This window comes from Homo sapiens, chromosome 15 (genome assembly GCF_000001405.40).
Source record: "Homo sapiens chromosome 15, GRCh38.p14 Primary Assembly".
Classification (NCBI taxonomy): Eukaryota; Metazoa; Chordata; class Mammalia; order Primates; family Hominidae; genus Homo; species Homo sapiens.
This window is the reverse complement of record NC_000015.10, coordinates 78,531,233-78,556,834: the sequence shown is the minus strand read 5'-3', so window position 1 is coordinate 78,556,834 and position 25,602 is coordinate 78,531,233. Positions and strand designations below refer to the sequence as shown.

General features: G+C 42.1%; 2 protein-coding genes across 8 annotated transcripts in view, besides 4 other annotated features; both read right to left on the bottom strand.

The window, feature by feature from the left end:
- Positions 1-4,417: 4,417 nt before the first annotated feature.
- Positions 4,418-16,430, bottom strand: PSMA4 (proteasome 20S subunit alpha 4). 6 transcript variants are annotated; one of them, NM_002789.6, is made up of 9 exons: positions 16,296-16,391; positions 14,905-14,930; positions 14,616-14,658; positions 14,190-14,352; positions 12,568-12,645; positions 11,878-11,966; positions 11,071-11,201; positions 10,137-10,260; positions 4,418-8,045 (listed from the first exon to the last, which is right to left on the bottom strand). In NM_002789.6, the coding sequence occupies exons 2-9, from the start codon at positions 14,905-14,907 to the stop codon at positions 7,891-7,893; spliced, it is 786 nt and encodes a 261-aa protein (NP_002780.1). In that variant the 5' UTR covers positions 14,908-14,930; positions 16,296-16,391; the 3' UTR covers positions 4,418-7,890. The 6 variants fall into 6 exon arrangements, with proteins under 6 accessions (NP_002780.1, NP_001317604.1, NP_001317605.1 ...); NM_001330675.2 differs by having other exon boundaries at positions 14,190-14,259; NM_001330676.2 differs by lacking the exon at positions 16,296-16,391 and adding an exon at positions 16,000-16,049.
- Positions 15,243-16,135: an enhancer, noted in NCBI's record as "H3K27ac hESC enhancer chr15:78833042-78833934 (GRCh37/hg19 assembly coordinates)". NCBI's record gives its function as "activates a minimal SCP1, AML or CMV promoter by ChIP-STARR-seq in primed H9 embryonic stem cells {active_cell/tissue: H9 hESC(primed)}" and the evidence as "EXISTENCE:reporter gene assay evidence [ECO:0000049][PMID:30033119]".
- Positions 15,243-16,163: a biological region, named in NCBI's record as "H3K27ac hESC enhancer GRCh37_chr15:78833042-78833934".
- Positions 15,894-16,163: a silencer, noted in NCBI's record as "silent region_6712". NCBI's record gives its function as "represses an Ori minimal core promoter by ATAC-STARR-seq in GM12878 lymphoblastoid cells {active_cell/tissue: GM12878}" and the evidence as "EXISTENCE:reporter gene assay evidence [ECO:0000049][PMID:35858748]".
- Positions 16,244-16,353: an enhancer, noted in NCBI's record as "active region_9919". NCBI's record gives its function as "activates an Ori minimal core promoter by ATAC-STARR-seq in GM12878 lymphoblastoid cells {active_cell/tissue: GM12878}" and the evidence as "EXISTENCE:reporter gene assay evidence [ECO:0000049][PMID:35858748]".
- HYKK (hydroxylysine kinase) overlaps positions 19,462-25,602 on the bottom strand; it is a 29,797-nt gene continuing 23,656 nt past the window's right edge. The window contains exon 5 of one of the 2 annotated variants that reach the window (NM_001083612.2): positions 19,462-19,535. In NM_001083612.2, coding sequence (NP_001077081.1) covers positions 19,534-19,535 — 2 coding nt within the window. In that variant the 3' untranslated portion in view covers positions 19,462-19,533. Of the gene's footprint in view, positions 19,536-20,189; positions 23,626-25,602 lie in introns of those variants that run through there. The other variant, NM_001013619.4, reaches the window with a different exon arrangement.

The window sequence follows — 25,602 nt, the reverse complement described above, 5'->3', positions numbered from 1 at the left end:
GTAACTAGAAAATGATAGTTTGGGCCAGGCATGGTGGCTCACGCCTGTAATCCCAGCACTTTGGGAGGCCAAGGCGGGCAGATCATGAGGTCAGGAGATCGAGACCATCCTGGCTAACACGGTGAAACCCCGTCTCTACTAAAAATACAAAAAATTAGCCAGGCGCGGTGGCGGATGCCTGTAGTCCCAGCTACTCGGGAGGCTGAGGCAGGAGAATGGCTTGAACCCAGGAGGTGGAGGTTGCCGTGAGCTGAGATCACACCACTGCACTCCAGCCTGGGTGACAAAGCAAGACTGTCTCAAAAAAAGAAGCTGCCCATGCTTGTTCCCCTCCAACCTATTCTCCCCTTCACTGCTAGAGGGATCTTCTTAATATGTCAATCGGAGCACATGAACACATGTCTTAAACCTTGCATAGGTTTCCCATCAGAGAACTTCCCCAATTTACTGTGAAGCTAATGCAGCTTAAGAGTCAAGCCTCTTCATTTGCACGGCTCCTTCCAAGGCCCTGGGAAAGACCCTAATAACGTATTGTTACGCTCATATGCAAAATATCTTTTTTTTTTTTTTGGAGATGGAGTCTCACTCTGTCACCCAGCTGGAGTGTAGTGGCACAATCTTGGCTCACTGCAACCTCTGCCTCCCGGGTTCAAGCAATTCTCCTGCCTCAGCCTCCCGAGTAGCTGGGATTATAGGTGCATGCCGCCATGCCCAGCTAATTTTTTTGTATTTTAGTAGAGACAGGGTTTCACCATGTTGCCCAGGCTGGTCTCGAACTCCTGAACTCAGGCAATCTGCCTGCCTTGGCCTCTCAAAGTGCTAGGATTACAGGTGTGAGCCACTGTGCCTGGCCATGGGCAGCTATTATAGAAGTCCAGGCAAGGGATGATAGTGATGGCTTGCATGGAATGATGGCACTGGAGTTGTGTGACTTGGCACAAATTACTCACCTTTTCTGATCTTTGGTTTCCTCAACTACACAATAGAGAGATTGCCTCTAAATCACTGAGCACAGAGTAAGCCCTCAAGGGTTTACAAGGTTGTTGTGAGAATTAGCACTAACATTTATAATGTAGCTGACACTTACTGTTTAATCAACAAATGATAGCTTCTACTCTGCTGTAAAGAGAAATGGGGCTTTCTAAGGCTGCAAAATACTTTAGAAAAGCAATTAGAGGCCGGGCGTGGTGTCTCTCGCCTGCAATCCCAGCACTTTGGGAGGCTGAGGTGGGTGGATCACCTGACGTCGGGAGTTCGAGACCAGCCTGACCAACATGGAGAAACCCCATCTCTACTAAAAATACATAATTAGCCAGGCGTGGTGGTGTGCATCTGTAATCCCAGTTACTCAGGAGGCTGAGGCAGGAGAATGGCTTGAACCTGGGAGGCGGAGGTTGCAGTGAGCCAAGATGGTGCCACTGCACTCCAGCCTGGGCAAAAGAGCGAGACGTCATCTCAAAAAAGGAAAAAGAAAAGAAAAGCAATTAGAAGGAAAAAGTATTTTTACATTTCTCCTTTAAGAGTATTTTTAGGCTGGGGGCGGTGGCTCGCGCCTGTAATCCCAGCACTTTGGGAGGCCAAGGCGGATGGATCACTTGAGGCCAGGAGTTTGAAACCAGCCTGGCCAACATGGTAAAACCCCCTCTCTGCTAAAAATTCCAAAAAACAACAGCTGAGTATGGTGGCAGGCGCCTGTAATCCCAGATACTTGGGAGGCTGAGGCAGCAGAACTGCTTGAACCTGGAAGGCGGAGGTTGCAATGAGTCGAGATTGTGCCACTGCACTCCAGCCTGGGTGACAGAGCAAGACTCCATCTCAAAAGAAAACAAAATAAAACAGTATTTTAAAATGGCTTGCCTATAATTTGCTGAAGGTTACCAGTATGCTCGTTCAGCATCTAAACTGGGCCACTGAGACAAGTTAATAGTGGCTAACTCTGGGCAAGATATTATGGGTGATTTTTATTTTATTCACTGTGTATTTTTCAAAGTGATCATGCATTGCTTTCCTAATCAGAAAAAGTAAGTTATTAGATTGTTTAGGAATCAGAAGACAGTTTACCCTGGATTCTCCCATTCCATGTGATTCCTAATATTTCAGAGAAGGTTATTACATAAGGCTCTTAGGTACAGAATCAAAGACTTGGCCTCTCACTAGAGAGTATAAAGTTAAGTATAAAGAAACTTAGAGAAAACATTCTTCCTGCCAAGATGAAAGGAAGTGAAAATCCTCTCCAACTGTGAGACCTACTTCTATAACTAACAGATTCATATACATTTACTCAAACAGTCAACCCATTTCCCATTTCTATTGGGTTCTTATAGGAGAAAATAGGGCAAAGTAGATTCTTTTAAAAATCCATATCACTAATGTTAATGTATGGCATAAAGATGGATTTTAAAATAAGCCAAAAATTCTACTTCAAGGTGTATACTCAAAATAAATGAAAACGTATGTCCACACAAAAAACTTGTACCTGGGTGTTCACAGCAGCATTATTCTTAAGAGTAGAAATAACTCATATTTTTGCCAATGAGTAAACAAAATGTAGTATAACCATACAATGGAAGAAAAATAATAAATCTCTGCTTTTTTTCTCTAATCTAGTAAAGAAATTACTGATGCACACTACCACATAGATAAACCTTGTAAACATTACGCTAAGTGAAAGAAGCCAGACACAAAGGATCACATATTGTATGATTCCATTTACAGGAAATGTCCATAATAGGCAAATCCATAGAGACAGTAAGTAGATGAGTGGTTGCCTAGGACTGGGCAGTGATTTGGGGGTGATGTCTAAGAAGCGTGTGGAGTTTTATTTTTGGGGTGATGAAGATGTTCTAAATCAATTGTGGTGATGGTCGCACAACCCTGGGAGTATACAGAAAGCCATTGAAAAGTATGTTTTAAATGGGTGAATTGTATGGTATGTGAACTGTATCTCAGTAAGGCTGTTACCAAAAAATAACAAAAATAAATGGAGAAAGGTAAATAACTATCATTTCACGTAATTCTGAATTCACTCAAGAATGGAAAATTCCCAAGTAGTCTGAACAATTGAATTAAAGTTTCATGATTAATTTAAATACTGCTTTTAAAAAGAGATTAACAATTATATTTTGCAAATTGTGTATTATAAAGATGATTGAGCCACAAATTTACTAGAATAATGTTGATGTACTTTGGCATGGGGAATATTTTTATGTGCATTGTACTAACAAGAACTTTAAATGATAGCTTTGTCTACGTAAACACAAAACAACCCTTCGGTACATCAGCATCAAAATCAAAATAAAAATGCAAATGCTACAATGAAAAAAAAAGGTAACACAGATGACAAAGAACTATCTTTAAAAGAGCTCATAAATGAATTTATAGAAAGTTAAATTATCTGATAGAAATTGGGCAAAAAAGATGATCAGACAGTGCATGCAAGAATACAAATGAATAATACCTGGAAGAAGAAGGGGAAAAAAGCATTTGACATGGGTTTACTCCGACGTGTGATATACAATGTTGTTTACAGAATTCTTCCCTACTAGGGATATTAACTCTAATTGGTTTCAGGTTATAACAATAGTAACAAAAAAGACATTAGGAAATTTTAAGAGTAGTTCATCATGTTCACCGAGTGCTCTTTTAGATCAGATTGTGACTACTTGAATTTGATGCCCTTGTCATCCCTTCCTCTTTCTCTGTCCTCCGTCATTCCGCGGCAGCTTCCCTTCCTCTCTGTTCACTTTACTACAGTCTTACACCCTCATCCTTCCTTGCCTATTTCAGTAGCCTCCTAACTCACTCTGTCTCTTCCCACCTAGTCCATCTTCTGGGCTCCCAGAATCATTGTTCTAAACAAGTCAGAGTAATTGTTTTTCTCATTCACTAAAAAATCTCAGCTGCCTCTGCATTGCATAGAGCACAAACTTCAAGACTTGCAAAGCTGTCTTCTCATCCTAGTGCACATTTCCAACCTTCTCTCTTATTTCCCCAGCAAGCTGTGCTCTAGCTCTGCTTAGCTACTGTGAAGCTTTCCCATTGCCAAGCCTTTGCACGTGCAGTTCCTTCTGCCTTTACTCCCTACTCTTCGGCACACAGCTACCTGGAGTCTAGCGCTCCTCCACAATATTGTTGTTGATTATCTGCTTTTCCTGCAAGGCTGCAAGTTAAGAGCCGAGGACGTGTCTTATCCATATATCCCCACCACCTAAAATTATCAGGAACATGGTAAGTGTCCAATAAAGGAATGAATCAACTTTCTGGTTTTGTTTTTCAGAGTATGGAATATTTTTGCACTGCTAAAACAAATATTCTCATGGAACTTTCAAAGTGCTAGACTGTACAAATTCCAGAGTCTTCCTTTATTTTCTGATTAAGAAAAAACACCAGAAGTAAAATTATACACAGGAGTACATGATTTTTTTACATAATTTATTTTTAAAAGCATGATTTGAAAGCTCACCAAAATGAAATCAATTTGACTTTGATTTTAAAGTTTTGACTCAAGATTTAAAACTTAGCTGTCTTTGGTTTTCTACTTATTTATATCAACGTGCTTCTGAGCTGGTAGGGTCCCTGTGAAAACCCATGAGTTTTGCTCAGATTAATGAAATGCTTGCTATTAGTGATGGGCCCCTGTTCAGATGTGTATTGCTAAGGCAGCATTTGGGATGCATCAGGCAACACTCTGGAAACCACCTGTCCTGCAACTCAGGTTAAAAATATGCCACAGAGCAGACGAAAGTGGGGCTAGCGTGAGAATCTAGACTAGGCAGCCAAACCCCATCGCAAGGAAAAAAAACTCACAGTTAAAGAGTAGCTTTTGCCTCACCTCCTATCTTTTGCTTTTCCTCACAGTATGAATTTATTTCAACAAAAAGATGAATACGTTGAAATTTGCCTGCTGTTAGGGTCAAATTCTGAAGACTTTCCTAATGTGGCGGCAAACTATACCAGGCTCTCTTATTCACTATTGCCTTTGAAGAAGTTGTCCTAGCTTTAGGCAAATGTTGAAGGGGTAGTCAGGATACAGAAAATCCACCAGTGCTACTGATCTGGATGGAAAGCAGGTATTTTTTAGGATTTCACACCAGCATATCCAGGGTATTTATTCATTCATCAGTACTTATTTGTTGCCTAACACGTGCCAGTTTCTGTTCTAGGTACCGAGACACGACTATTGAATGAAAACAAAGTACTGCTCTGGAAGTCTGTATTCCAGTGGGGAGAGACAAGAAACAAATATGCCAGCTGGTGATGAGTGCTATGGAGAAAAACTCAACAGGGTATGTATAGGGAATAGAAAATGTGAGTGTGCAGGGGAAAGAGATTGCTCCTTCACAGAAGTACCCCAAAAAAGGTGACATGCAAGCAGAGACCTGGAGATGAGGGAGTGGGCAATAGATACCCAGGAAGAGCATTCCCAAGGCAGAGGGATTGGCAAGTGATGTGAGGGGAGCTTGGCACATTCAGGGAATGATGAGAAGGCTCATTTGGATGAATGAGTGAGGAAGGAAGCACATGGAAGGTAGCACAAGGCCAGAATACAGGATACCTCATGAACCAGTACAAAGAATTTGACTCTTACTGAGCAAGATGGGAAGCCATTGGAGGGTTTTGAGCCAAAACTGTGCAGTAGTACCGTTTACATTTTGAAAGGATCACTGTGGCTGCTGCTGGAGAATTGACTGTGGGGAATGAAGTGGAGGCAAGGAACCAGTTAGGAGGCTGTTGCAATAGTCCAAGTCAGAGATAATGGTGAATTGGACCAGCGTTCCTGCAGTGGAAAGTGGCTGGATTATGGGTAAATTCTGCAGACAGAGTTAATAAGATTTATTGACTACCTCAACCTCTGGGTGTAGCAAGACTGGAGGGTGAAGACGTGCCATTCATCTTCACTACTTGCTGATTCTGTACTTGTGAATTTGCAAAATTTGCATTCTCATAAAATGTACATGTAACCCCCAAACCAATACTTGTGGTACTTTTAGTCATTTGTTGACATGCAGAGTGGTGAAAATTTTGAGTACCCAGGTGCACATGTTCCCATCTGAGGTTGAGCAAGGCGACACTCTGAATTCTTGTTTCAGCTCTCACACCGTGTAAGTGTTCCTGCAGTCTACCTTGTGCCGTTTATTTTTGCATTTTTCTTAGTGATTTTACTATTTCAAATGGCACCCAGGTATAGTGCTGAAGTGCTGTTTAATGTTCCTAAGCACAAGAGGGCTGTGATGTCAGCACTTTGGGAGGCTGAGGCAGGAGGATCGCTTGAGTCCAGGAGCTTGAGACCGGCATGGGAAACATGGTGAGACCTTCCCTGCTCACCGTCTCTATGAAAAAAACACTGTTTAGTGTTGTTCCTAAGCATAAGAGGGCTGTGATGTCAACACTTTGGGAGGTCAAGGCAGGAAGACCGTTTGAGCCTGCAGTGAAATATGATCACGCCACTGCACTCCAGCCTGGGTGACAGAGCAAGACCCAGTCTCAAAAAACAAAACAAAACAAAAACATTCACGTAAAGAGCTGTTGGCTGAGTTCTATGTTAATGAATCCACAATACACATTTAAAAAGGTGTCTTTAAGTAGAAATACACAAAAAACAGGTTATGTACTGATCAGTTGATAAAAATGTGACCAGTGGCTTGTAGGACCCTAACCCAGTACTTTCTCTAGGTGCAAGAGTTCAGTATTTTGTTAGTTTTTGTGGTGACTTTAGAACATAACTACCAAAAATAACGAGAACCTGCTGTACAGAGTAAGAGAATAATTTAGAAGTTCAAAAAAGTGCTGCAAATAGGGCTTGTAAATACTTTAGCCTATACAGAAAACTGCAGGGAGCTGCATTAAGAAAATCTACAATGAGAAATTAGACTGGGAGCACATATTTGGTTGACAACAGCTGAGAGAAGGGTAAATGATGGCTCAATGCACTCACCCTAGCTGATGGAAATCACCTGAAGAGTTTAAGCAATGTTAATATCTGGGTTCCACCACAGAGCTTGAGTTAATCGATACAGCATGCTTACAAGCTGCAAAAGCTTCCTAGGTGATTCTAATATGCAACAAAAACTTCTTAAAGTTTTACTTAGCATTCCTAAGAATCACATGCAGAGCTTGTTAGAACAGATTACTGGGTTTCACCCTCAGAGATTTTAATTCAGTAGATCTGGGATGGGACATCAGAATCTGCATAGGTGATGCTAAAGCACCATGGCTACGCATTAAGTACCACTGCCCTGTATCACTTCTGTCATGAAGCCACAGATAGCCAAGGGAACTCAGGTTGAACAAACCCCAGCAACAGAGCTCCCTTCAGCCAACACGTAACTGTTCTCATCTCTTGGTTCCACTTTTCCTCTGTGGCCTTAACTTCTACACCTCATCTTCCGCGCAGCTTGAGCTGCTGCCTGTGGGCAGCCTCAGTCCTAGCTGCGAGATCCACACCCACACATCAATTCTGGCTTTGTTCAGCTCACGTGTTCATTCTCAAACCAATTCCTGCAGACAGAGACGAATAATCTGGCCAGCCTGAGGAACGTGCCCATCTTTGTGAAAGGACTGTAAGCCACAATGTGCAAAAAGTAATCGCCCTGTCAGTTTTTGTATATTTAACAATTACTGCTACAGAGAATTTATTCCTTCATTTCCATTTTCCAAATTTTATTCCAAAAAAAGGGGATGTGTGTGGAAGATTAAGACGTCCATGAAGGGTAACCATCATCGTTACAATAAAGTATTCAATTGGACAGAAATGACAAGGACCCAATTCAGTATGTAATGTCCTATTTTCCCACTGCACCAGTTAAAAAAAGTAAAGCCTTCCTAGTGTGGAAGAGTAGGACTGCTTTTACACTGAAATGGTGCCCCAAATGAGTAATAAAATCTCTGATTCTATTTATCCTTTTCTTTCTGTTCTTTTTCTTTCTTCTCACGCTCAGCTTTGGCTTCTTCTTCCTCATGTTTTTTGATCAACTGCTCCACTTCTTTTTGTTTGAGAACTCTGATTACTGTCTTTCCATTCTCTCTTGTTAGTGTTGCAATTTCCACTAAAAACAAACACATACATTTATTTGTATTGCAGGCAGGCAGGCATACTTAGCAGAGAAGCTTAATAGGCACTCATGGTTTATGCTCGCCACATCATTGAAACGTTAGTTCAGCACTCTCCTATGTTTTATACTTAACATTATTCCCTTTTATGAGAACAATATACTTTTGATCTTGTAATGTTTTAATTATAATTTTTACTTAAATATCGTCTCCTCAGCCATTTTGTCACTCCCTTAGAAAAAGTATAATCAACCAATTGCTATTGCCGGCCTGCTATTAGCTGTGCTGATTAGACGGAACTGTTGGAACCTCTGAGGGCTCAGCCAGAATCTTCAACTGGTAATAACAGCTTATTTTTTATGGACTTTTCAAGTCTCTTAAAAAAATAAATAAATAAAAGGCATGAAATGGCCAAGAAAAGCAGACTGATACCTAAAGGGGAAGGAATTTTTTTGTACCAGGGAAACTGAGTAGTGCTTCCTTGAAACTGGGTGGAAGTAGACAAAAGAGGGCAATCTGCATGTAAATGACATTTTCTTTTTCTTTTTTTTTTTGAGATGGAGTTTTGCTCTTGTTGCCCAGGCTGGAGTGCAATGGCGCAAACTCGGCTCACTGCAACCTCCACCTCCTGGGTTCAGGTGATTCTCCTGTTTCAGCCTCCTGAGTAGCAGGATTACAGGTGCGCACCACCACGCCCGGCTAATTTTTTGTATTTTTAGTAGAGGCAGGGGTTTCACCATGTTGGCCAACCTGGTCTTGAACTCCTGACCTCAGGTGATCCACCCACCTCGGCCTCCCAAAGTGCTGGGGATTACAGGCGTGAGCCAATATGCCCGGCCGTAAATGGCATTTTCTAAGGAACACCAGGAGCTAAACTGTCCTAACATAAAGCAACATGTTAATTTACCACAATTTCTGAAAAACATTTAGAAATATTCTTTTTTTTTTTGAGACAGAGTCTCTCTCTGTCACCCACGCTGGAGTGCAGTGGCATGATCTCAACTCACTGCAGCCTCCGCTTCCCAGGTTCAAGTGATTCTCCTGCCTCAGCCTCCCAAGTAGCTGGGATTTATAGGCATGCACCACCATGCCTAGCTAATTTTTGTATTTTAAGTAGAGATGGGGCTTCACCATGTTGGCCAGGCTGATCTGGAACTCCTGGCCTCAGGTGATCCACCCACCTCAGCCTCCCAAAGTGCTGGGATTACAGGCATGAGCCACCAAGCTCGACTGAAATATTCTTTTATATAGTCATATAGCTTAAGTTGAACAAGGTATTTGGAATTGCTAACATGAGCTTAAAATAAGAGATTAGTAGATTAAGAAGAACAGGAGAGGGTATCACAACCCACGCAAATGTTGTATCTCTGGTAAAGTATACCAAACCTATGTATAAATATATAACTACATACGTATGCTTTATCATATATACACACAAGCAAAGATATCATTGATGAGAAGACTTGATAACTGTTAACTAAAAGTAGCACAGTGCAGGATGTCTATCTGTGAGTAATGAGATTGTTCAGTATCAAGCCTTTAAGTTTGGAATACAGTGTGAGATTGTGACTCCACAATTTACCAATGTTGATCTTGGTCAACTCACTTAACCTCATTAAGCCCTAGTGTCCTCAGTTAGAAGACAGGGATAACATCACCTAATTCGTAAGGTTGCTGTTTCAATGAACTAGGATGACATGTTAAAATCTTAACAGTTGCTGGCTGGGCGCAATGGCTCACGCCTGTAATCCCAGCACTTTGAGAGGCTGAAGCGGGAGGATCACCTGAGGTCAGGAGGTCATGACTAGCCTGGCCAACATGGTGAAACCCCGTCTCTACTAAAAATACAAAAATTAGCTGGGCATGGTGGCGCGAGCCTGTAGTCCCAGCTACTCGGCAGGCTGAGGCAGGAGAATCACTTGAACCAAGGAGGCGGAGGTTGCAGTGAGCTGAGATTGCGCCACTGCACTCCAGCCTGGCAACAGAGCGAGACTCCATCTCAAAAAAAAAAAAAAAAGAAAAAAATCTTAACAGCTGCTAATTTCCCTCACTCAGTCGAAAGAATTAAAGGAGAGGATATGAATTACCTTTTTCAGCAGAGAGTTTACTAACATCCATGGTCTTATTTAGTACTTTGATAGCTAAAGCAAGTGCTGACTTCAAGGTCATTTCTCCTTCTTTATAGTCTTGTTTCAACATTGACACAGCTGCCTATAAAACATGAATCAACATAGAATTTTAAGTTTTTACATTTTTTAGAAACATGAATTGGTCTAGAAGAAAAATGCCTGAATTATTATTGGCATTACAAGTATAAACAATTTTTTTTTTTTTTTTGACACAGGGGCTCACTCTGTTGCCCAGGCTGGAGTGTAGTGGCATGATCTCAGCTCACTGTATCTTCAAGTCTCCCCAGGCTCAGGTGCTCCTCCTCCCACCTTGGCCTCCTGGGTAGCTAGGATTACAGGCACATGCCATGGCGCCCAGCAAATTTTTGTATTTTTTGTAGAGATGGGGTTCTGCTATGTTGCCCAGGCTGGTCTCGAACTCCTGAGCTCGAGCAATTTGCCTGCCTCGGCCTCCCAAAGTGTTGGGATTACAGGCATGAGCCACCATGCCTGGCCCATATACATAATTTTGATGACAGGGAGGGCACACACGGCACGGGGTGAGAAGAGGGGGTACTAATGCTCTATAAAGAGTGTCTTTAACCTGGGGTCCTCAGTCTCCCAAGGGGTCTGTCATAGAATACAGGGGGTCTGTAAACTAGATGTGAAACAAAATCACAGCTTCTAATTTCACAACTCCTAACTGAAAATTAGCATTTATTAATGTAGTTAACGAACCCCAGTATATTAGCTATATCAGCAATGCTGTCACCAACAGAAATCACAGATATTTCCATATCACATTAAGGTTGTTGCAGCTATCTTAAAATACTGTTTACATTCATCACCATGGCAAAATTATGGCAGTTATTAGACATTCTGCTAGATTTTATAGCACAACAAAAATACTCACAGCGCTATTATTTCCAATGCATGTGGCCTTCCATCCCCCGTAATTTCCACTAGGGTCACTCTGATAGAGCTGAAAGCCATAGTGCTTATCCCAGCCAATGTACAGCAATGAAACACCAAAGGGACGTTTTCCTTTAACAAAGAAAAAAAGCCAAACATATCAATAATCTAAATTTAGTATCACTACAGTTACTTGAGCTCAGTGAAGGTAGCTAAACCCTACTCTGTGAACTTAAGCATTCATAAACTGTTTTGTATTCTGGCTACCATAGATAAGCTCCATTACAAATTCGACTTTTGTTTCTACGATTTGGACACAGCCAGAAGAGGGAACAGACAAAGGACCAGTGCTGAATTTCATTATTATGTAAACAGCAGTTAGTTTCCAGATTTGAAAATGTTGTTTTGGACTTTCAATATCCTATTAATAAAACGAGGGTAATCTACATGGTGGAGGAACACGTTCATTCATGAAGCAAGAATGTATGAAATTCTAGTGTTCTATACTACTGTAGGATTAATATAGTTAACCATAACATATTAGTTTCAAATAGCTAGAAGGATATGGAAGGCTCCCAACACAAGTGTTTGAGATGATGAATGTGCCATTTACCCTGATCTGATCATTATGTGCACTGAAACATCATTATGTACCTCATGAATATGTACAATTCTTATTTGCCAATTAAAAAAATTAAATTTAATTTAAAACAAAGGGTCTATTTTCAATTTTTTACTACCTCAAAAGGGTTATAACTCATAAAATGTCTTAACTTTTTCGAATAAAATTTTCAAAAAAATTAAATACCTCCAAATTGTGTATAAGCTTGTTTGATATCACACAGCGCTGTAACCAACTGCTCACAAGGTATTGGCTCCTGATACTGTAATAAATACCTAGGATAAAGAGATGGGCACATTAGTAGTTTTCTCTAAAACACAGACAGACTCTAAGGAAAATATTCTCTGAAAAGCAATCTATGCCATGGGGACAACCTAACAGTCATTTGTAATTTGAAGGGGAGGGAACAAGTCAACATCTGAATATTCTCATAGTAAATAATATTTTGTAAGTTTGGTTGAAAAAAATCTGTAATTTTCAATTCAAAGATTTTTAATGACTTTAATCTTTGCAAAAGTGAGCTCTCCTTAGAAACATCAAAACTAGGCCAGGTGCAGTGGCTAATGCCTGTAATCCCAGCACTTTGGGAGGCCAAGGCAGGCGGATCACGAGGTCAGGAAATCGAGACCATCCTGGCTAACACAGTGAAACCCCGTCTCTACTAAAAATACAAAAATTAACCCGGTGTGGTGGTCAGCTACTTGGGAGGCTGAGGCAGGAGAATCGCTTGAACCCGGGAGGCGGAGGTTGCAGTGAGCCAAGATCGTGCCACTGCACTCCAGCCTGGGTGACAGAGTGAGACTCTGTCTCAAAAAAAAAAAAAAGAAACATCAAAACTAATTTCTGTATCATCAGTTATGCTATTTATGACCATACCTTTGAGCAATGAGCCTTAGTTCATTAGTCAGAACATTAGCATCAGAAGTTATGCCTGCCACACTGCAAGCCATGTCCCTTGAAGAAAAAAAGACATTGATCTGTAAGCAGGGAAGATGCTTGCAAGGAGTGTTTATAAGTATTTAAAAAATTCTAATTTCTATTAGAAATTCACTATGTTTGCTTCACAACAGCTACTTCCTTCAGAAAAAACCTACAAGTTTTATCTTTGTAGGAGATGTTTACTCGATGTCACTCAACATGAAAGATAAACAAATGCACCCTTTAAGTTATTTAATAGATGTATTTATCATTACCACCTATGAATAGGATAACAAAATTAACGCCAAGAAGCTAATGTAATCTCAAGAAGATTCAGCAACAAAGAATAAAAAGACAGGCTTGCCACAATGGCTCACGCCTGTAATCCCAGCACTTTGGGAGGCCGAGGTAGATGGAGGGCTTGAGCCCAGGAGATCAAGAACAGCCTGGGCAATACGGCAAAATCCCATCTCAACAAAATATACAAAAACTAACTGGGTGTGGTGGTGCGCACCTATAGTCCCAGCTACTTGGGCGGCTGAGGTGGGAGGATCACTTGAGCCCAGGAGGCAGAAGCTGCAGTGAGCCAAGATGGCGTCACCGTACTCCAGCCTGGGTGACAGAGCAAGAATCTGTCTCAAAAAAAAAAAAAAAAAAAAGATTTTGCTAGACAGACTGCTCTTGAGTAATATTCATTTCCTAAGGCCTGGCTTGACAGAGGTGACAGGGGACAATGGCAGGAGGGTTTACAAGCCTGCTTAGGAAGTACAGGGCTAGGCTCCTACTAGAGGTGCATTTCATTTTTTTGGGCCCACTTCCTGAGGGCTGCCCTGGCTCTCTTATAGCTGAGACTCGCCCTGTGACTACGCCTAGCCAAGCCTGCCAGCTGTTGAGTGGTCCCAACAGAGGCTCTGTGGAGGGGTGACACCACTTTGGACAAGTTTATCAAAAGGCCCTGATAATCAGCATTTACCAAGCCCACCACCACTGAAAGGAAAGTCTCTACTTAGCACGGTCAGCTCTCCATGAGCTGCAAAGTTCTGCACACTCAAATATAACAAACATTTCACACAGTGTACAAGGCTTGGCTAAATTCTTCGAGACCTCTAAGAGGCTTGTTCTTTAGTAAGATTCAGTGTAATTCAACAAAATCCTGCGTAGCTATTCTAAACAATACTTTGAGGGCCTACTAAATGCCAGATACTATACTATTTTATTTCATTCATTTTATTTCATTAAACTGCCACAACCACTTTAGGAGGCTCTGAGGCCCAAAGAAATTAAATAATCGGTGCAAGGTCACATAGCCTGCATGGGTGAAGCCTGGAGTTGAACCCAAATCTGTGTGACTACTAAGTCTGTACTCTTATCATTACACAATGCTAGTTTCTCCACTAAGTGTTTGCCCTGCACTTAAAAGGAGTAACACATGGTACCAGGCCTCAAAGAGGTTTCAAGCAAAATAAAGGCACAATTTCAATTCTACCACATCGCACGGAAGAGCCCTCCCAAATTACATAGATCCCACTTATGTGAGAAAGTGAGATTTTTTTTAAACTCTTTCCTAAAATCTCACTTACTCATTGAGTTTATAAATTTTTTCAGAAAAAAAGACTTCATCAAGAAGCTTGTGGATGTTGCGTCTCTCTGCTGCAAGCAAAACACCATCATTTGCTAAAATTCCCAAACAGGTGCCTGCATGTCCAATAGCTTCCATGGCATATTCAACTTGGTATAAGCGACCTACAAAACAAAAGCAGTGAGAAGCCAAGACTCTCCTCTGTGCTCCTGCACCACTGGCCCAAAAGAAATCAGCAATGAAGCAAGCTAGAAACAAATTTCCACTTTCACTCTTCTATGGTATAATCAACCTGGTGATGATAATTGCTTCAAAGTACAAAAAGGATGAACTTTGCAACTACCAAAAAAAGTTTGTAATTTTTTTTTCTAAAAGTCTAACACATTTATTTTTAAACTTGAGGCAGATTAAACAATTTCTATTTTACCTTCTGGAGAAAATATAGTGGTCCTGGAGTCATATCTTCGAGACTGCAAAGGAAAAACACATGAGTGATTCCTACCCACTGAAAGTAGGCCAACTCCTGCAAGCCTACAAATGATCTTACAAAACCTATCCTGGTATACAAAGTTCAATAGGTGAGAGGAAACTGACAAGAAAAAAGGCACCTTCTCACTGCTTTCCTTCTATTTCAATTTTCCCACTCAAGTCTGTAAACTGAGTACAAGCAATACTGTTTATCAGGCAACCGTTTATTGGCATGTGTATTAACTCACCATGTTTTCTGAACTTTATATAGTTCCTGTAAAAAGAAAATCAGATCATCATTAAAATAAGATTCACAAATTAAAAAGCATTTGCTGACTTTACAAATCTGTTTTATTTACTCCCTTTATTCAGCTAAGTGTCAGGCATTATGCTAGATGCTGGAATACCAAAATGTGTAAAACCAGTTCCTGTCCTGAAAAGCTAATACTGGCAGTTAGGTGAGAGAGGCAGTCATAGATTATAATGTGGAAAGAGGAACCGGGGGTAGGGTGGGAAAAGGGATGATGAAAGAATCAAGAAAGTATTTTTTGAGAAATCGATACAGAAAATGAAAGTAAATCAGAGATGGGAGAGGCAGAAATAAGGCTGAGAACCCTTGGGTCTAAGAGAAAGAACAGGGGAAGAAAGAAGGGCATTCCACACAGAGCAGAAAGTATGAACAAAGGGTACGGAGGCAGGATAGTTTAGTGGGCATGAGATAAACTGCTGATGCTTTTAAAATATATATAAATAAGAGCTAAGCGAGTATCCAAATCACGCAGAGCCTTGAAAGCCAAGGCAAGAGGCTGAGGCCTTCTCCAGAGAGTGATCTGGGTCCTGAACTTGGGGGTGGAGGCAGTTATCTTGGGCACCATCAGTACCATTCGTGCAAAAGGCAATACTAGGTGTTCAGCGTTATTTGGTAAAGCCTCAGTCCAAGGCCCACATTTCCAAATACTGGAATATAGGGAATCAAGACTGGAAAGGTAAGCTGGAATCAAATCCTGGAGAGCCCGCGTGCCCAGGTAAAAACAGAATTTTATCTCTCAGCCAATGGGGCTCCTCTGAATGATTCCCAAGGCCCACAGGAACTGATTGGCATTTTAAATGATCACTCTGGCTGGTGAGAGACCGAGGGCAGCGAACTGGTTGAGGTAATTGCAATAGGAATGGTGCAAAGTAAGGATGGCACAGAGCAGAGAAGCAGGGAGGACACAGAGACACTCGCCGGGGATTTCTGATTCGAGCTTTAAGCACAACTTTCTGTTGTCTCCACGCCTGACGCCGGGCACAGCACTATTTTGAGTTCACCGGCACCTCCGGGAGAGCTAACTTTCACGTACCGAACTCCTGAGGACGGAAGCCACCCCAACTCTCGGTCCTGCCCACAGACCCCCACCCTCAGCCCGCCCCCTCGCGGGCCCCGGCGTCCAGGCTTGGCACTGGGAAGCCCCCGACGGCGGCCGGCGGGGGCCATTCCCGGCGGTCGGTCCGTCACAGAGGAGGCGGTGCAGAGTCATCGTGCCCACGGCTCCTCGGCGGCAACTGCAGGCCGGGACCGACTGTCTTGACGTTCACGACCCCCGCCCAATGGGAAAGCGGCCAAGCTTCCGCGGGCCCCAAGGGGCCAAAGGCTCACCAGATGGAAGACCCTGAAGACCTGAGATGTCCACGGAGCCCTTAACTCCACGGAAGAATAAACCACCACCGCTCACCGAATAACCGCTGCTAATATGGCCCCCGCGCATGCGCAGAACCGCTGGGTTGGGGCGGGGGGAGCGGGACGGCCGAGGACGCGGAAGTCCTTCTTGCGGGGCGGAGCTAGAACCCGTGCCCCTCGTGGGAGCTGGGTCGCGGGGGTGCTGAGGCTCTGGGGCGCTGCAGCTTAGGCTAGGGTCCTCAGCAGGTGGAGGAGTTGCTGTGCCATGGGGAAGAGGGCAGGAAGACAGTAGCCAACCAGGAGGTGGAATAGCTAATTTCTTTCTCTTACCCTTGGCGCTCTCCTTTCATTTTCTCTTCACTATTCAGACCTAGGATAGCAAATAGTGTGGACCGGCTTCTTAATTGCTATCATTCCTGTCCTGTTTCCCAAAATGGTTCCAACCACATGAGACTTTACCCCTCTCATCACCTTCCTTTTTCATTCTGGCTTTCACTTTTACTGCTGATGCATACATTTTGGACATACACATTATGATGAGGAAGGCCGGGTGGCTCATGCCTGTAATCCCAGCACCTTGGGAGGTCGAGGCGGGTGGATCACCTGAGGTCGGGAGTTCGAGACCAGCTTGGCCAACATGGTGAAACCGTCTCTACTAAAATTAACAAAAATTAGCCGGGTGTGTGGTGCACGCCTGTAATCCCAGCTACTTGGGAGGCTGAGGCACGAGAATCGCTTGAACTCGGGAGGCGGAGGTTGCAGTGAGCCGAGAGTGCGCCACTTCACTCCAGCCTGAGACTCCATCTCAAAAAAAAAAAAATTATGATGAGGGTCGAGCATGGTGACTCATGCTTGTAATTACACCGCTTTGGGAGGCTGAGGCAGGAGGATGGCTTGAGGCTAGGAGTTTGGAGGCTGCAGTGAGCTATGATCGCACCACTGCACTCCAGCCTGGGTGACAGAGAAAGACACTGGCTCTAAAAATTAAATTAAAAAAAATTATGATCAGGTTCACACTTTTGGGGGAATTTTCACCTTGGTCTCTTTCTCTGCTTTTCACCAGTCAGAAAGGATTTCCCTGACCAGCACAGTTAAAGCAATACCCTACCGTCAGCATATACTCGCACCATTTTATCTTCTTTACTGAAATTGTCATACTTGTTTCTGTGTTCATTATCCATCTCTCCACCTTTTTGCTCATTCAGCCTCGGTCCGTATGTAAACTATCTACTATGCATTTTAGGTTTTTTCAGGCTAGAAGGTTGACTAGATCTGGGTTAATATGAAGTCATCTGCTCACAGTCTCTCCCAAAAAGCAGCCCACTGGGCAGAAACTCCTCTTCATGTTGGTTGCAAAATTATTGGGGGATCTGGGCTTTGAAAAGGAGATAGCTTGGAAGTAAGTTACATTTTGAGGTCTCGCCTATCGTCTCTACTTTCCAAGCACACAGGGAAGTGAGCCAAGGCAAGATGGCAAAGAGCCACACGCAGGTGGTGCTCTGAAAGCATCCTCAGGTGGTGTAACTTATGGCATCTCTGAGGGCCCCTGCCTGCCACCTTAGTTCATTCTGCGGAATTCAGTGAACAGTCACTTTTAAGTGAGAGGTAGAATTTCTCAGGTCAAGAGAGGGATTCCTTGAGAAAAAGGGCAAGAGAAGAATGAGTCTGACAAGTGTGGGTGACTGAGTAGTTCGGTCTGATCTGAATGGAGGAGATAATACAGGAAGTAAGGAAAGGCATTTGAGGCCTAAGTGTAGAGTGCCTTTAATGCCAGAATTTGTTTTGGTCAGTAATGGGAAGACAGGATTAAAGTGATGTTTTAGGATGATGAACCCTCAACATCTCTCATCCCACATGTTCCTCTTACAATGTGCCACAGATGGTTCCCACTGAGAGGTTCTGTGTCCCCTTATTCTGAATCTGGGTGAGCCTGTGACTACAATGGAAGTGATATCATGTGACTTCCAAGAGCAAATCACAAATGGTGATATGGTTCTGTCTTGTCCTCTTGGGATGGTCGTTCTTGGGACCCAGGCACTGTGCTGTGAGGAAGCAAAGGCCACATGGAGAGGTGTTTGGCCAACAGCCTAGATGAAGTCCCAGTGTCACCTGCCAGACAGCTGAGTGAAGATTCCTCCAGATGATCCTAGTACCCAGTTGTAACCAGGCAGCTTAGCTTCAAACTGCATTAAAAATTTTTTCCCCTTTTCCTTGGGTTTAAAGATATAACCTTGAAGCAAACTGCAGAAACCTTTTCTAGAGTCCACATCCCTCCCTTTCTCATTGTATATACTCCCTTCACATTTATCCAACTGTCTACTAGTATCTAATTATGTGTCTTCTTAGAAGTTCCAGGGGTCAATCCTGAGACACACAGACCAAGTCTGGAGACCCAGCTGCAAAGTTCCAGAGATTACTTCAAGACAGCTAGTTAACAACCTGGCTGTTGTTGAAATGCCATCAGCCCAGGGTCCAGGTGGACCAGGACCCAAGATAGCCACCAGAATAAGACACACAGACACTGTACTCAGCCCAGTTCTTGTCTGCCTTCCTTATCAAGTTTTCCCTTTTTAAACCCCTGCCTTCTTCCTAAAAATAGAAGCCGTTAATTTGGATAGGAATCCGATTGCTTTCCCTTTACTATTTTTGGCTAATAAATTCTGTCTTTCTATTATACCTCACCCTTGTCAATTGGACTCTGTAAGAAGCAAGTGTTCGGTTACACAGTGATTGAGTCTCTCCCAGGCATCAAATCTCTCCCAGCCTTAAAGTCTTCCTAGCTGAGGCCCCAACACTGGGGGGAGCAGAGACAAACTGTCCCAGGGCCTGCCTGAATTCATGACTGCCAGAAACCATGAGCTAATAAAATGATTAAAGTTTTAAGCCACAATTTTTTTTGGTCATCACACAGCAATATATGTAACCAGAGTTTTTATCTGCCTACATAATATGAAGTGCAGAGGTTAGGGAGACTAAGAATACCAGAAAGTAAAGTTCTGTTGTAGTCCAGGGGCGCTAAAAGCCTGAACAGAAGAAGGCACTTGCAAGAGCAAAGAGTCTTTGCCAGACATATGGTATTGATTCCTAAATCTGGAACTGGGTTTTCTCCACGTTGTTTGAAAGGACCAGGACCTGGCACTTGTAGTGGTGTGTTCATTCTTACAGTTTATTCAACAGATCTTTACTGGGTCTTCTAGGGGCCTGGCACGGTGCTAGGTCCTGAAAGTAAAGTAAAATAAATATTTAATTTATGTATTATATTAGGGTCTTCCAGAGAAACCGAATCAATGGGATGGAAGGATGGATAGGTAGATAAACAGGAGGGGATTTATTATGGAAATAAATTATGGAGGCTAGGAAGTCCCACAATTGCTGTCTGTAAGCTGAAGAACCAGTGAAGCCAATTATGTGTTTCAGTTTGAGTCTAAAGGCTTGAGAACCAGAGGAGATGATGGTGTAACTCAGTCTGAGGCTGAGGACCTAAGAACCTGAGGGGCCGCTGGTTAAGTCCTGGAGTTTGAAGGCCAAGAACCTGGAGTTTTGCTATCTGAGGGCAAGAGAAGATGGCTGTCCCAGGAGAGAGACTGAATCCATCTTTCCTTTGTCTTTTTGTTCTATCCAGGCCCTCAACAGATTGGATGGTGCCCACCCATATTGGTGAGGGGGATCTTCCTTACTCAGCTACTGATTCAAATGCCAGTCTCTTCTGGAAACTTCCGCACAGACATGCTTAGGAATAACGCTTTACTACCTATCTCTGTATCCCTTAATCCAGGCAAGTTGGCACCTAAAACTAACCATCACAGCCACCAAAGAGTTTATATAAACCACATGAAATTGATTGATTGGAGACAAGTTAGAACAAACACCAAATAGTAAAATATCAATGTAATGCAGCATGTAAACATCTAAACAGTGGTCAGCAATATTTGCATTAGGAATTGAGTGAAAGGAAATCCATGTTAGCAGGGGCAATCAAGAGGGAAATCTATACAGTTTCATCAATTCAGAGGATCAACACTGGTCTGGAAGTGAAACCCAAGTTTCAGTCCATTATTCTGGTTCCCAGTTTTTAGCTTGAGAGGTCAACCTAGATAAAAACCACAGTCCCTTAAATTTCAGAAACATAAGTGCTTTCATGTGAATGATCTCATTTGTTCCTCCTAGTGTGTGTGAGTGAGTGTGCATGTGTGTGTGTGTGTGTGTGTGTGTGTGTGTGTAGCAGGGACAGGAGAGGAGGGAGAGGGAGAGAAAGTAGCATGGAACTCTGTGGTAGTGAAGAGCATGGTCTACATCAGAAAGGCCTGATTTAAGCCCTGGCTGTCTTTGAGGAAATTATTTTTACTTTTTCAGCTGCTATTTTCTTATCTGAAAATGACGATTAATTATAACAGTACTTCCCACACAGGTTTGTTGTAAAAATTAAGTGAGCTAATGTGTATAAAATACTTCAGTGCTGAATAAATGTTGGCTTTTATTATATATTGTTAAAAAACAACACAGGCTGGGTATGATAGCTCACGCCTATAATCCTAGCATTTAGGGAGGCCAAGGCAGGAGGATTGCTTGAGTCCAGGGGTTTGAGACCAGCCTGGGCAACATAGTGAGACCCTATCTCTACAAAATAAAATAAATTAGTTGGGCATGGTGGCACATGCCTGTAGTCCCAGCTACTCAGGAGGCTGAGGTGGGAGGATTGCTTGAGCCCAGGAGGTAGAGGTTGCAGTGAGCTGTGATCACACCACTGCACTCCAGCGTCGGTGACGGAGTGAGACCCTATCTCAAACAAACAAACAAAAAAGCCCAAAACAAACAAAAAATCCAGTAAAGACAGAGATTCCTAAAATTCTACAATTCTAAAAACCAGTAGGGCTCACTGAATATAAGAGAGGCAAGCAAAAAATTACTCCAATATTTTGAGTTTGGGTAACCTGGAATATGGTTCATTTATTGAGTAAATAGTTACTGAGTCCTAACTATGTGCCACACACTGTGTTAAGCACTTGGCACTGTTCTCTTATGAAATCTTCACAATGAACTCTATTAATTCTATGAGATAGGTATTACCCCAATCTCTACAAAAAATTAAAGAATTAGCCAGACATGGTGGCACATGCCTGAAGTCCCAGCTACTAGGGAGGCTGAGGTGGGAGGATCACCTGAGCCTAGGAGGTTGAGGCTGCAGTGAAACCCTGTCCCTGCCGCCCCACCACCAAAAAAAAAAAAAAAGAAAAGAAAAGAAAAGAAAAAGAAATGAAATGAAATTGAGGGACAAAGAAGTGAAAAATGAACCATATAAGACAATTTAGAGAAATATCTAGTTTGGGAAGACTAGGTAGGTAGACAGAAAGATGGAGATAGGATCAATGCCTGTTCATATATATAGAAAGATAACTATTGAGTATTTGAATGGCCAGGGTTCTAGACTTGAGTCATCTGTAGACAATGAATAGTTGAAATCATAAGAATAGTAAACAGCCATTTACTAAATCATACTAAAGGAGACATGACGAGAAACCAGTGAAGGAAACACAGTGGGATACCGTCAGCCAAGAATACAGTGAGCTTCAGTCTACCCAATCTACTTCATAGTCATCCAAAAAGAAACAGATTATAGAGAATTAAAAAATATATGCTTATATGCTTAAGGAGGTTCCTGGTATCAGTCTGAAAGGAACCATTATATTTAAGTAGCTCAGGGGTTAGTGGCCTTGCCTGGATGTCATTATTTGCTTCCTTGCAGTTCCCAGGGTCTTCCAGCATCTATCTCTGGAGTTCCAGTTTCAACCACCCTCTCAGACAAGTTAAAATTTTTTCTCCAAGAATGCTGTCAATGCTTTCTCCTAAAGCATCTTAGTGTGTGCCTTCTCCATCCCTTCTTCTAGCACGCATTTATTTTCAAATATTTTTAAAGACCTCTCTGTAGGAAAGGCACTATAATAGCAGGTGTGATAAGAAGGGATGAGGAGGCCGGGCACGGTGACTCATGCCTGTAATCCCAGCACTTTGGGAGATCGAGGCGGGTGGATCACAAGGTCAGGAGATCGAGACCATTCTGGCTAACACGGTGAAACCCTGTCTCTACTAAAAATACAAAAAAAATTAGCCGGGCGTGGTGGTGGGCGCCTGTAGTCCCAGCTACTCAGGAGGCTGAGGCAGGAGAATGGCGTGAACTCGAGAAGCGGAGCTTGCAATGAGCCGAGATCGTGCCACTGCACTCCAGCCTGGGCGACAGAGCGAGACTCCGTCTCAAAAAAAAAAAAAAAAAAAAAAGAAGGGCTGAGGAGACAAAAATAAGTTTTACATGGTCTCCGCCCTCAGTAGCTCTCAGGCAAGATGACTGCACAACCACGATCCATTATACAAAGTGATGGGCCATGAAAAAGACACAATGCACTGGGATTCTAGAGAAAGGAGAGATCAGAGGAGGTTTCATAGAACTGGTAGTATGTTATCTAGGTCAGTATGTTATGTCCAGATATTTAAAATATGTCAATATATCTATATGTATATATTATTTTTAAAATTAAAATAGTCATTAATCTCAGGGCAGGAATAGATCTTGTGAGATTATCTGCTTCAAAATGGTATCATTATATGTGTTTTATAGATATGGCAAGTAAGACTCACAGAAAAATATGCTTGCTTGTGGTACTTTTGTGAATTTTAAAAAATTGTCACGAGATTGCTTGAAGACCTTAGGGATTTCATGTGCTCTGTCATATTCAGAATTGATCCATTCCATCAGTTGATTTTTAACTATGCAGGAAAATCCTTCCTAAAATTTGACTGGGTCCTATTTTAATTACCCAAGTTAAAGTGAACTTTGAGTCACATGGAGATCTCAGTCACATGGAGATCCCAGATTCATAGGATTTGGCAGTTTCAAACCAGATTTCTTCTACAGCTTTCTGACCCATGTCAAACATTTGCTGTAAGTGTTTCCACCCGGTTTTTGCAGTAACCATGAGATAGTCTTTGTTCTCTGGGTATAGCTGGCAAGAGTATGCAGCCATGACAAGTGACTGACAAAAACGACTGCATACAAGTAAAAACAAAGCACCCTTCTCTACAGCTGTCAGTGGGGTGATGCTTTCAAACCCTGCAAGGACATGGCCTCCTACTTGTATAGGACTCTTGCTCTCAATCATCATGTACATGATGGTAATTGCCACTTCAAACACATAGTAGCCATAGCTCATGTCACCAAAGTCTAAAATCCCAGACACTTGATATTCAGCATTTCCAGAGGCTGACTTGCTGGACTCTATTAAAATATTATGGTCATTAAGATCTCCGTGATTGATACCTGAAAGTAGAAAAATCATGTAAAAACAGTTATTGAATATCCCAATTCATTCCCCTTCCATTTCTCTTTCATAGGCAAAGCCATAATTTGATGAGCAGTCAGAGATAAAGGGCCAGGCCCTATTTTTCTTGAAATAAAATAATTTCCTCTGAAAAGAATAAAAGCAGTTAATTTGGGGTGGTGGTTTTGCTTTTGCTTCTCATCAGTACAAGGCCAGAAGCTGGAGACTGCAGTTACTACAAATACCTGATTTTGGCCATTAGAAGAGTAAAGTGAAAAGAACTGCTTAAACCCAGAAATGTTTAAAAGAATAGAAACACATTCATATTGTTAGAAGAAACAAAGAGTCCTAGAATGGACCAGATTTACCTTTATTTTCATCTAGGATTTTATTTTATTTTTAAATTTTTATTCTTTGAGATGAGTCTCACTCTGTTGCCCAGCTGGAGTACTGTGGCACAGTCTTGGCTCACTGCAACCTGTCTCCTGGGTTCAAGCAATTCTCCTGCCTCAGCCTCCTGAGTAGCTGGATTACAGGGGTGCGCCACCACCACACCCAGCTAATTTTTGTATTTTTAGTAGAGACGGAGTTTCACCATGTTGGCCAGGCTGCTCTCAAACTCCTGACCTCAAATGATCTACCCACCTCAGCCTCCCAAAGTGCTGGGATTACAGGCCTGAGCCACTGTGACTGGCCTCAGCTAGGATTTTAAACAAAATTTTCTGATAACATGGTAATTCTAAATTTCCCTTTTTTTGATTACTAAAATAGGTGGTGATATTTTAAGTCAGTACTATTCAAAGTGGGGTCCATGGCCAGTGCTGGTCTACAAAATGTTACTAGTCTCCATGAGATAAGAACAGAGTTGAGAGTGTTTAGAAAATTTTACAGGGATATGACATCCAAGAGTGTGATCAGTGGCCTTGTCTCATTGAATGGAGCGTACACGAGTTCAAGTTTTGTCAAACTCCCATGGTTAGTTGCATGTGGCATGAACTGTACGTGAATCATGCACAGTAGGACCATATGTCAGACTGTAATGGGTTGGGGGAAAAAACCCACACTTGTCTTTTACCATAGATAGTCTAAGAAGCACGGATTTAAGCCACCAACTAAAGATTAGTAAGAGATGTAAGTGTCCATGAGCAATGAAGCCCTGAGTCATATACATGATATAAAGTATATAATTTTAACTTTTAAATATAATGCTGACTTTTTCTATATGATTTAGGATTGTGTAAATCATGCTTAAGCAATGTAACAGTGAGTGGGCACATAGAAACAATATTACTGTAAATCATAGATTTTAAACTACGTATTTCTGAAATTGGGATATATTATATAATTGACTCAAAAATATATAAGGTAAAATTTGACCGGGCCCAGTGGCTCATGCCTGTAATCCCTTTGGCCACTTTGGGAGGCCAAGGCAGGTGGATTGCTTGAGTCTAGGAGTTCGAGACCAGCCTATCCAACGTAGTGAAACCCTGTTTCTATTAAAAATACAAAATTTAGCCAGCGTGGTGGTGGGCACCTGTAGTCCCAGCTATTCGGGAGGCTGAGGCAGGAGAATCACTTGAACCTGGGATGCAGAGATTGCAGTGAGCTGAGATTACATCACTGCACTCTAGCCTGGGCAACAGAGCGAGACTCTATCTCAAAAAAATTTTATATACATATATATGGCAAAATTTGACAGAAATACAAGCAAAAAATAGGCAATCTGTAATCATAGTAGGATTAAAATATACTTTAACATGTGCTTTACTCAATAATTGTTAGAAAAAGCAGACAAAAATGTAAGTGAAAGTTACAGAAAATTTAAAAATGATTAACAAACTTGACCTAATGGGCATATAACTTTATGCCCAACACTGCAGAATATACTTTCTTTTAAAGCACACATGAACCATTCATAAAAATTTACCAAATACCACATGATAAAGTACTTTTGAATTGACTGAAATCATATAGAG